General features: G+C 44.6%; 1 annotated feature.

Moving 5' to 3' along the window:
* Nucleotides 231-1,430: an enhancer, noted in NCBI's record as "P300/CBP strongly-dependent group 1 enhancer chr8:102038939-102040138 (GRCh37/hg19 assembly coordinates)". NCBI's record gives its function as "activates an origin of replication core promoter dependent on BRD2, BRD4, P300/CBP, MED14 and CDK7 cofactors, with strong dependence on P300/CBP, by STARR-seq in HCT116 cells {active_cell/tissue: HCT116}" and the evidence as "EXISTENCE:reporter gene assay evidence [ECO:0000049][PMID:35650434]".

The raw sequence follows: 12,506 nt of genomic DNA on the forward strand, positions 1-12,506 counted from the left end.
TTGTCTGTCTGTGTGTAGGGTTCCAGTCCCTGGGAGAGAGATTTTCACTGGCCAACTTGGTCACTTGCCTGTCCCCTGTCACGAGGGGTCCAAGTCCTGGGATTAGCTGGACACCAGAACCATGTATCTGTGGGAGGGGGCGTTGAGGAACTGTTTCTACAAAGGAAGAGACGCTGGGCAACAAAACCAAACAAAGCCCCACAGCGGCTGTCCCTCCACAACATTTGTAAAAATAGCAACAATAAAAATAGCAACTATGTGCTGACTACTTCCCAGGGGCCAGGATCTATGTGAAGTATTTTACCTCATTTACTTTCTTAGCAGCTCTGTGGGGTGGGAATTGTTCTCCCCCCGACAGGTGAGGAAGTTGCGACTGAAGAGAGGATAAGAAACTTCTCTGAGACACAGCTAGTCAATGGCATAACCAGGATACAAATCTGGTTGTGTCCAACCCAGCCTCTGCGCTGTAACCATTAGGCAGCATCGCCTTCTGAGTGGGGCTGAGTGTACTCCATGGTGAAACTCAGCTTCTGCACGCTGTGCTGCTGACCTTCGGGCTCCACGGGCTTAAAACACAGCTCTGTATGTAGCTCTGCTATCCGGGGCTTCTTCATGTCACCAACGCTTGCTACATGCACAGATCTCCTTGACCCTGCAGCCAATGCCTCGGTCAGCCAGTGCACCTGTACTGTCTCTCCTCTTGGGATAGGGTCCCTCTCCATCAGGTACAATATATGGGAAATCGAGGGGTGGCCTTTGTCCCAGCTGTCTTAGTCACCGCATTCTTCAGGTCACTAACCGCCCCATTGGAGAGGGTTCACGCAGCTCACGTGTAAACGGACCCCTCTTTCCACCTGCCCTGAGACCACTCGGCTGTGTCTGGATGGCTGAATCAGAACTGGGTGCTGCCCCTACTCCTCACGCCGGAACCCACCCCACACTGCTTCATCCCTAGCTCCCCCAGCTTGCCCGGCACCCCTGCCCGTCAGCAAGTGTTTCCTGAAAGACTCTCCAAGTCCAGCAGTGTGCTGACTCCCCTGGCCACACCCAAGTCTGGAATGTCTTCTTCCAATTCCCTCCCTTCCACGACTCAGGGATCTTTGAAATTCTGTTGTTCCCTGGGCTGGGCAGCTCCTGTTGGGGTGTGGCCGGCAGCTGGCCTCCAGTCATAGAAACACCATGATTGATTTAAATACTAAATTACACACTCAGCGTGGCAAAAGTGCTGCTCCTCCTTATGTGACCTCTTTAAAGCTGAGAGAGTTGTGTGTCTTTCTCCCTTGGAAGCATGGTGTGGGGGGCCCAGGCCCCCTGCAGCAGCCTTGGTGTGCACAGCAGCTGCCTCTAAGTAGTCATGTGGGCCATGCAGCTGAGGACGGCCACAGAAGCGCTTTCTCCTCCAGGTGATCTGGGGTGGGGAATGCTGGCAGCTCTCCAGTGGACAGCGGAGAAACCTCTCTCCCCATCTGCACCCAGCAGGGAGCATGGGAATGATGACCAGCGTTCAGAGGGAACAGCTGGGCCTGGTGGTCATTCCTTGCCTGGGCAGAGGCCGTACACAATATGGCCCATGACTGCTCCAGATGGCTTTCTGCTACTCTCTCTTCTCAGAGGACAAGTCTGATGGCCCAATTTAAATTATAACCTGACTCCAGGATTCTCCCCCTGGTCTTTCCATCCTCCAGCACACTTGAACCTGCAACACAGTATTAAATGTACTTTTCATGCTTATTGTTTATTCTCTATCTCTCCACTAGACTATAAGTCCGCAAGGGCCAGGCTGAGACTTTTGCCAGTTTTGTCCAGAATGTATTCCAAGCGTCTAGAGCAGTGTGGTTGTGTAGTAGGTGCTCAGTAAATATTTGTTAAATGAATGAAGGATTCACCCATATCCTTTAAAACCACCAGGCACTGGTGGATCCCAAATGAAGGATCCACCTGTGTTTGGTGGTTTAAAAACATGTTCAAAATCCTGTGACATTGCTCCTTTTAAAAGTGGAGCTAATTCCCTCTCCCTGAATGTGAGCTGACCCGAGTGACTGACTCTCTTCCAGTGAATAGAATGTGGCAGAAGCCATCCTGTGTGACTTCTGAGGCTGGGTCATAAAAAGGACAGTGTTGGCCTGGCTTGCTGTCCATGGGCTGCTCACGTGGAGGATGTCAGCAGCCTTGTGAGGACACTCAAGAGCCTTCAGAGGCCTTAGTGGGGAGACAGTGAGGCCACGTGAATGAGCCATTTTGGAAGCAGTGCCTCCAGATGACTGCAGCCTTAGCCGACATCTTGACCGTAACCTCATCGGAGTCCCCAAACCAGGCCCACCCAGCGAAGGCACTCCTGAATTCCTGACCCACAGACATCGTGATGATAATAAATATTTAGGATTGTGTTAATCTACTACGTTTTGGGGTTAATTTGTTACACAGCAATAGAGAACGAATAGAATTTCAAAGTCACCTAGTGCATTTGAAATATGACTTGCTTTACAAAAACTTAATACGTGCCCAACTTTATAGCAAAGCACTGTGCAAAGTGAACTACAGCTGCTGATATGGAAATAGAGGTTGTGTAGGTTTGGTGGAAAGAGAACTGGTTTGGGGCTACAAAAAATAAAAAGATTATCATGGTCCCAAATCTGGAGTTTATCTTTGGAATGTTACAAGGGGGGGCAGTGAGTCCCTGGGAGAAGCCTGTGTCTGTGGCAAAGATGATACAGGACTTGCTCCCTAACCCAGTGGTACGTGCTCAGTGAAGACACTTGTCCACCAGTTCAAGCGCCCATTGTTGGTTTATTAATAGTGCTTGCACATGATGCAGTGTGGGGCTGGGGTCTGCACAGCAGCTCCCAAACTCGACATAACAAAGGCTGCAGCTGTTGTTGCTGTCTTCACTTCACTTCAGAGTGACCTTAAATTATATCCCCTAGTGATGAAACAGCCAGAATAGTATACTTGAGGAGGTTAATTAACCCCCTACAGGATATACAAGCTAGAAAATCACCACTTGGAGAGCTGCACAGCCTCCTGAATCCTCATCAGCTCCACACAGCCGCCACGGCTCTGTAGCGCATTTCTATTTAGTGCCACAAATGGTGCCAGACGAGAGGCTCTGGGGGCCTCCTGCCCTTCTGCTACCAAGGATCACCAGCCAAGGCCTGGCTACTTGATCTGGCAGAGATGTTTGGTCCCTACAAGCCACTCCTACACTGACGTCTCTGCCTGCACGCCTCACACAGTGCAGATGTGGCCAGTCTGAATGGCCATTATGGCAATGTAAAGAAATTTGACCCTTATGAGAGAATAATTGGCTTGGCTTTTTTTTTTTTTTTTTTTTTTTTTTTTTTAAGACAGGGTCTTGCTCTGTCACCCAGGCTGAAATACAGTCATGATGGTACCATCATGACTCTGCAGCCTTGACCTTCCAGGCTCAAGCAATCCGCCTGTCTCGGCCTTCCTAGTAGCTGGGACTATATACGTGTACCCTGACGCCCCACACTTGGCTAGTTTTTTTTTATTTTTTATTTTTTGAGACAGGGTCTTGCTCTGTCACCCAGGCTGGAGTGCAGTGGTGCAATGTCAACTCACTGCAACCTCTGCCTCCTGGATTCAAGCTGTCCTCCCCACCTCAGCTTCCCAAGTGGCTAGGACTACAAGCACATACCACCATGCCCAGCTTTTTTTTTAACATTTTTTAAATTTTTTTGTGGAGACGGGGTTTTTCCAGGTTGCCCAGGTTGGTTTCGAACTCTTGAGCTCAAGCAATCCACCCACCTCAGCCTCCCAAAGTGCTGGGATTACAGGCCTGAGCCACCACACCTGCTCTGCTTGGCTAATTTGTTTTGTTTTGTTTTGTTTTGTTTGTAGAGATGGGATGTCACTATGTTGCCCTGTCTGGTCTCAAACTCCTGTGTTCAAGCAATCCTTCCACTTGGCCTCCCAAAGTGTTGGCTTAGCTTTTGACAGGATGATTGGGTTCTCCTTTGGCTCAAATTCTCATCTCTGGAACCCACCAGATTATGGGGGAAAACGCAGGGGGCTTTAGTCACTTTCTGCTCAGGCAATTCCTTCTATCAGCTTTATTTAACGGATGGAAGAAGAGCGACCCAGAAAGGGTGGGTGTTTAGGAGGGCTGTGGTAGGGAAGTCTGAATTTCCTGGAGGCCTTGCCTGCTAGTAATAATAATAGTAGTAGTAAATATTTATTGAGCATTTGCTTTCTGCCAGTGGCTGCTAAGCATTTAACGTCTATTTTCTTGAGACTTGTGACTCCCCTATGAGGTAGGCACTGTTTTATCCCCGTCGAATAGATGAGGAAGCTGAGGTTCAGTACAGTCATTTGCTCAAGGGTAAATGGCTGAAGTAGGGTCTCATTCTAGGTCCACCTACCGAATAACTCATATCTTTAACTAGAATGTGGTCACTGTCATGAACATTGGTGGTTTCTGAGTGGCTGCCTGTGTCCAAGGTTGGTGAACATGTTACATGTCAAGACTGTGATATCCAGACAATGCCTGCCATCAAAGAAGGAAAAGGCAGAAAAACCAAAAAGTAGGCCTGCCCTGAGCCACCCCTCCTTGCTGCAACAAATGTTCATAATGATGGATCCTGGGTTATAACAAAAAAGTTAAATCATGTTCTCTGCTTTAAAATATAGAGAGGTAAATGCTATGTTTTAGAGTGGTTACCTCCCATCCCCAGAAATAATTACAATTTTGGGAAAAGTATTGGTTCTTAAGTGAAAACTTCGGTTATGTATGCCGAACCATAATCCCCAGTGCTGGTGGGTAACCGAGACATTCTAACATTCTAACATACTGGCATACTTTGAGATGATGCAACTTTTCCCATTTTGCATAGGTGGACTAAAAGAAGAGGAACTTCCAGTGTGCCATTAATATGGTTTGGCTGTGTCCCCTCACAAAATCTCATCTTGAACTGTAATAATCCCCACATGTCAAGGGGGGAGCCAGGTGGAGAGAATTGAATCATGGGGGCAGTTCCCCCATGCTATTCTTGTGATAGTGAGTTCTCACGAGATGTGATGGTTTTATAAGGGGCTTTTCCCCATGTGCTTGGCACTCATTCTCTCTCCTGCCGCCCTGTGAAGAGGTGCCTTCCTCTTACCATGATTGTAAGTTTCCTGAGGCCTTCCCAGCCATGTGGAACCGTGAGTCAATTAAACCTCTTTTCTTTATAAATTACCCAGTCTCAGGTATTTCTTCATAGCAGCACGAGAACGGACTAATACAGCTACCACTGGCTCTTCTCTGCTCTGATTAAAACTTATTATGGGCTCCTGCAGGCTCAGCTGTCTGGTTCATATAGACATATCTGAATCTGTATCTTGGAGGAATGATAAAGCAGGGTGTCCTTGGACACCACATCCACACATTGATAAGAATCATGTTTACATTAGTATTAGTAGCCTTTACTGAGTGTCAGCTTTGGGCCCAGGTCCTGCACTAGGCACTTGCACATATTATTTGTTTAATCTTTTTCAGTTGCTCCATTGGGGTAGTATTGTTTTGCTCATTACACAGATAAGAAAACAAATGTTTAGTGAGTTTAAGCAACTCATTCAGGATTACAGAGAAAATCAGTAGTTGAGGAACAGATTTGCTCATAGATTTTTCCAAAATCTACGTCTTTTTCAGACAACCTCATTGCCTTAAGTCATGACAAGCAGGAAGAATACCCTGGTCAGCTGGGTTTCATATATGGGGAGAATTGAGAACTACTTCTGTGAATATAATATTATAAAGTTATGTTGATTTTTCTTTAAACCCACGCATATGTAATCTATTCACTCAGAATGAGAGCTGTCCTTTTACAGTCATCTTGGAAGACTAACATCTCTCAAATATTATCTAAATGCTTGCAGTTTCTCTTCGAAAATAGCATTTACAACTAGTTTACACTCCCCTCCACTCTTACTTTCCTTTGGCTTCAGCCAGGTTTGACCAAATACTGTAATGATAATTCCCAGCTTGATCACATACTTTGGCCATCAGATTTATTTTCAAATAATTTCAATTGTTTCCAAATAATGAAATCCACTCAAGGAAGAAGATTTGGCACTAAGGAGAATTTCTTCATAAAATCCGTAGCAGGCTCTAGGGGTGTTTTTAAAATGTAGTGAGTATGGCAGCATAGAAGGGAGAAAAAAACACCACTTGAGTGTGTGAACTCTGATGCATTTGTTCAAATAATGAATAAAGTCAGTCCTACTATCTGAAGTCACCCAGCATGTTGTACTAACCCCTCCTGGGCTCAGCCTTCTTCCCTTACACTTTGTTGACTGCCATGGGTTTCTCAGTTGAGATGGAATTCAGAAGCCCATGAATGAGACTGTGTCTCATTTGGCACAACAGTCATTGCAAAGGACAGGATTTCATGATACCCTAGTATCTTGATTCTCTTGTGAAGACAAACCCTCCTTCGATATTCATAGAATCACTCCTCCTCTGAAGGGCTTTTCATAGCCTTCTGATTTGGATGTAGGAACATTGGAATGGGGGATGGGTGAGAGAAACATGGGCTTAAAAGAACTCTATTGTTAGGGGTTTGAGGTTTTCCTTAGATTAGGTGAGAGTAGAAAGAATAACGGAAGAGGAAGAGGTAAGTGTAGCCAAGAGAATGGATGCTGTGATAAATGTTTGTAGTATCTTCTTTTTGTCCTCCCATTGGTTCTGCCATCATGGGGCTTGAATTATCTCTGGGTGGTGTAGGCTTTGGTGTTGAGAAGCTAATTTTTCTTGGTGCTTCTCTTAACTTCAACAGATCAAACCTTGATTCTGTCACTTACAATCCATAGGCATTTTCTCTACCCCTCACATCTAGAATGGAGCCAAGAACTATCTAATACCATGGTAGTAAACCAGCTCAAGGTTGGTTCGAACTTGATGTCACTAAAACTAGGGACTATTCAACTGGTAATTAGGATAGCATCAGCATTCAGCATCATTATCAAACAACATACATTTATTTATTTATTTATTTGAAACAGGGTCTTGTTCTGTTGCTCAGGCTGGAAGGCAGTGGCATGATCATAGCTCATTGCAACCTCAAACTCCAGGGCTCAAGTGATCCACCTGCTTCAGCTTTCTGACTGGCTAGGACTACAGGTGGCACTACTATGCCTGGCTAATTTATTTTTTATTTTGTAGAATGGAGTCTTGCTATATTGCCCTGTCTTCAAGCAGTCCTCCCATTCTGACATCTCAAAGTGCTAGGATTGAGCTGTACATGGTGGCTTACACCTATAATCCCAGCACTTTGGGAGCCCGAGGTGAGTGGATCACTTGAGTCCAGGAGTTCGAGACCAGCCTGGCCAACATGGTGAAAACCCATCTCTATTAAAAATACAATAATTAGCCAGGGGTGGTGGTGCACATCTGTAATCCCAGCTACTTGGGAAGCTGAGGCACGAGAATCACTTGAACCCAGCAGGCAGAGGTTGTAGCGAGCTGAGATCGTGCCACTGAACTCCAGCCTGGGCAACAGAGCGAGACTCTGTCTCAAATTTAAAAAAAAAAAAAAGAATATTTTAAAAAGTGCTAAAATTACAAGGATGAACCACCATGCCTGACCAGCATTTATTGAGACACCAATGAGCAGATAACATTGTGCCACCTGTGAGGCATTAAGAAATCATACTCATGACTGGGCTCAGTGGCTCATGCCTGTAATCCTAGCACTTTGGAAGGCCGAGACCAGCGGATCACGAGGTCAGGAGATCGAGACCATCCTGGCTAACACAGTGAAACCCTGTCTCTACTAAAAATACAAAAAAATTAGCTGGGCATGGTGGCAGTCACCTGTAGTCCCAGCTACTCGGGAGGCTGAGGCAGGTGAACAGCAGGAACCTGGGAGGCAGAGCTTGCAGTGATCCAAGATCATGCCACTGCACTCCAGCCTGGGCTACAGAGCAAGACTCCGTCTCAAAAAAGAAACAAAAAAAAAAAAAAACAAAAAAAGAAATCATACTCATTAATTTATTATATTCTTTTTTTTTTTTTGATATAGGGTCTCACTCTGTTGCCCAGGCTGGAGTGCAGTGGCATAATCACAGCTCACTGCAGCCTTGACCTCTTGGGCTCAGGTGATCCTCTCATCTCAACCTCCCCAGTAGCTGGGAATATTAGCATGTGCCACCACCACCAGCTAATTTTTTGTGTTTTTTGTAGAGACGAGGTTTTGCCATTGATATGGTTTGGCTCTGTGTTCCCACCCAAATCTCATGTTGAATTGTAATTCCCACATGTTGGAGAAGGGACCTGGTGGGAGGTGACTGAATCATGGGGGTGGACTTCCCCCTTGCTGCTCTCGTGATAACAAATGAGTTCTCATGAGATCTGGTTGTTTTAAAAGTGTGTAGCACTTCCCCTTTGCCCTTCTGCCATTATTGTAAGTTTCCTGAGGCCTCCTAACCATGCTTCCTGTACAGACTATGGAACTGTGAGTCAATTAAACCTCTTTTTTCCATAAATTACCCAGTCTCAGGTAGTTCTTTGTAGTAATGTGAGAATGGACTAATGTTGCCCAGGTTGGAATTTATTATGGTCTATTTAAACAAGAGATCCTAAAACTTTAGCACAAATAACAATTACTTATTTGAAATGCACACAACTCAGCCTCATCCCTTGAAATTCAGGCCCTTGGTGAGCCTGAGCATCTTCAGGATTCCACAGTTGATTCTGATTCATACCTAAGTCCGAGAACCAGTGGTCTTTGTGGAGTACTGGGAGCCTGTGGAGCCTGTGGAGAAAACTCAGGAACTCGCCGCAGCCTCCGCCTCTGGGTTCAATGAAAAGAAATAATATGAAAAGAAATGATAATTGAAAAATAAAATTAATACATCTTTACTCCCATTATGTATTCTTTTTTCACCTAAGGGAGAATCAATATTTGTTGAGCATTTGAAATGCATTTAGTGCATTGCATACTGTATCAGTCAAAATCCAATTAGGAAAAATGGAAATCATGCCAGGTACTTCAACCAGAGGGTATTTAATACAGTAAATGGATTTCACAGGTGTTGGAACAACCAAAAAGGGGCAGGGAGATTAGTAAGTACAGGAAGCCATCTTAGAGCTGGAAGAGCAACAGGAATGAGGCCCAATTAGAACCTAGGAATACAGAAGTAGGGTCAACATCTTAGGAGCTGGGCTGCTGCACAGCCATCGGGTATCTGGTACTGGCACTGCCAAGGGGGCACTGTGTGGCTGGTGATGGGAGAGTAGCTTAACCCTGATGCTAATTGTGTCAAAAGATACTAGAGTTATAGCCATCTAAAAGGAGGTGGAAGGAGGAAGAGTCCTTTCTTCTCTCCTCCTGCCTTCTAATCTCCCAGCTGTGCCTCCCAGTTGCAGACCCTAACTGGAAAGAGGCCAGCAAGGGAATTTGGAAAATGTAATTTTCAGACTCCAAGCCCCCAGCAGTCCAAATTGGAATATAGAAAGGTATGCACAGAACTGAGAGAGAATAGATAATGGCAAGCACACAGTCCATTTATTTAATACTCTGCAACACTGTCACTAGTAAGAACAGCCAAAGTTCAAACCAGAAAGTCAAATACCAGAATCTTTGTTCTTCCCATTGCAGCAAGTTTTAAACACTTTAACTCAGTTTACATTTATACTTTGTCCTTGACTTTTTTTCCCTCTTAACATTTATTTACACTGCCAGATCTTATGCTAAGTGCTTAGATTATACTTATCCTATTTAATTTTTAAAACAGTGCAGGTAACATTGATGGAAAATTGCCCAGTAAACAATTGAATGAGAAAACTGATTTCTTGAATTGTGAAATGTGTGTGTGTATGCGCCATAGGAAAGATTAAATATGCAGAAAATACCATAACGAAATAAGAATATTGTCCTAAATTATTCAGCTTACTATTTTAATCAAATTCAACTTACTTCAGAGTGTAATTGTTAAACACTACAATTGTGCTCAGCACTGGGCTAGAAACCATAGAGCATACAAGCAAACCATACAATGAGGACCCTGTTCTCCAGAAACTTGCTGCTTAGGTCTGAAATGAAGACGTAACTACATAGAATAGCATGTGTGTAAGGAAAACTTCAAGGCCAAGGAATGTTATGGAGAAGGTCATTGTGAGCTGGGGTTGTCAGGGAAGGTTTTGAGGAACAGATGAGATCTGAGGGAATGATAAAGGCAGGATGGGTATGGAGAAGTAGATAGAACATTCTATGTTATGAAGAGCTTGAGTAAAGGCTTAGAGGTGGGGCATTAACACATCATTTTGAATGACAGCAAAGAGATTGGGGAGATTGGTGAGAAAAAGAACACTGATTTGGCTGTGGGCATGAATCCTGTGTCTTTCCCAATGTCCATCCTCCCCTTTTTCTACAATGATAGAAGTTAAAGCTGGGCACACAACCAGCTTCCCTTGCAGCTGGATGTGACAGTGTAGCTCGATTCTGGCTCATGGGGTATCAGCAGTAGTGAAGTGTGAAATTCCCAGGTCGTGTTCTTAAAATGAAATAGAATTGTCTCTCATGGTGTCTCTTTCCCCTTTTCTGCTGGTCAGAGTGTGGAAGTGGTGTTAGCCATCTTGGACTGTGTGGGTAAGGACAGAATCCTAGGGTGAGCAGAAAAACCATCTGGAAGAAGCCTAGATCCCTGACATTGACAAAGTGTCCTACCAGTTCTGGACTAACCACACTGAGAGATAAGTGAGAGGGAGGATTTGATCTGAGAGCATGGGGGAGTCATTTGCTGTCAGGCATCCACAGCACTGAATTGGAGATTGTGGCATTTGTGCCATGTGACATAGAGCTAGTTTCTCCAAATGTAACCTTACCTTATCTACACATTTGCATAATTGCTACTAGGAATATCTTTTGCAAAGACCTTTTAGAGAATGGGTACAGCAGTGGGAAGAGTGATTTTCTTTCCATATGTCAGGCAGGGACAGACACTCAAGACTTTGGCCAGCCATGTTCTGAAAGAATCAAGGACTCGCTGCAAACCCAGAAAGCTGCTATGAGATCTTACAGTTGGTGTGGGGGAGGTATTAAAAACACTAATATTTCTGGAATGGAAGCTTTAATTGAATGCAAGAAAGATACCATAACTTAGAACAAATTGCTTTTGAAATCAAATACATCTTTTGCAAATGACCTGACCTGGGTTTTTGGTTGGCTCTTTTCACAATAATCCCCATTAAAGGATGAGTTATTGCATGGGCTCCAAATCTGCAACCTCTTTCTTTTCCCTTGGCAATAAGCAAAGGATCCTAGAATCAGACACGTGGAGGACAGGACAGAATTAATGGTTTTCAGGCTCTGGGTTCTTTCATGCTGGAGGTTTGTGTCTTTTTTTTTTTTGAAAATTGAGTGAAATTTACATAACATTAAATCAACCATTTTAAAGTGAACAGTTTAGTGGCATATAGTACATCCACTATGTTGTGTAACCATCACCTCTATCTAGCTCTAAAACAGTTTCATCACCCCAAAAGAAAACCCTGTACCCATTAAGCAGTTACTCCTTATTCTCCCCTCCCCCAGCCCCTGGCTATCACCAATCTGCTTTCCATGTCTATGGATTTACTTACTTTGGATAGTTTATATAAATGGAATCATACAATATGGGACTTTCAGTGGGTGCCTTCTTTCACTTAGTGTCATGTTTTGAAGGTTCATCCAAGTTGTAGCATGTATCAGTACTTCATTCCATTTCATGGCCGAATAATATTCTGTTGAGTGTACATACCGACTTTTGCTTATCCATTAGTCTGTTCGTGGACATTTGAGTTGTGTCCACCTTTTGGCTATTACGAGAAGTGCTGCTATGAACATGTACAAGTATTTGGGTACTAAGTGTCATTTCTTTTTTTCTTTCTTTTTTTTCTTTAGATGGAGTTTTGCTTTTGTCACCCAGGCTGGAGTGCAATGGTGCAATCTCAGGTCACCGCAGCCTCCGCCTCCTGGGTTCAAGAGATTCTCCTGCCTCAGCCTCCCAATTAGCTGGGATTATAGGTGCCCCCCTCGACCAAAAATACTTAAAAAATTTTGTATTTTTAGTAAAGACAGGGCTTCACCGTGTTGGCCAAGCTGGTCTCGAACTCCTGACCTCAGGTGATCCTCCTGTCTCGGCTTCCCAAAGTGCTGGGATTACAGGTGAGCCACCGTGCCCAGCCTCAGGTGTCATTTCTAATGAATTTCAAACTTGGGACTCCCACAGGGGAGAATTAGGAGCATCTAAAAATCCCAGTTCTTATTCTTCTTCAACCTGTAGGAGAAGAACATTGCATGGGTCCAGCTCTCGCCATTCCTGCAGATGTGGAACGAAGTGATCTGAGCATGAGGTTGGCAGAGCTTTGGACCCCGGCTCCCTCCTAGCTGCTGTCACTTCCTTTCTTTGAGAGTCCAGGCTGGCCTGCTGTTGACTCAGGCCAGCAGCCACACTTTTTCCTTTATCTGTGGTGCCCTGTCTACCAGGTTGTTTTTTCATTGTTCTTCTTTGCAGTTGGCTCAAGG

This window comes from Homo sapiens, chromosome 8, assembly GCF_000001405.40.
Source record: "Homo sapiens chromosome 8, GRCh38.p14 Primary Assembly".
Taxonomy (NCBI): domain Eukaryota; kingdom Metazoa; phylum Chordata; class Mammalia; order Primates; family Hominidae; genus Homo; species Homo sapiens.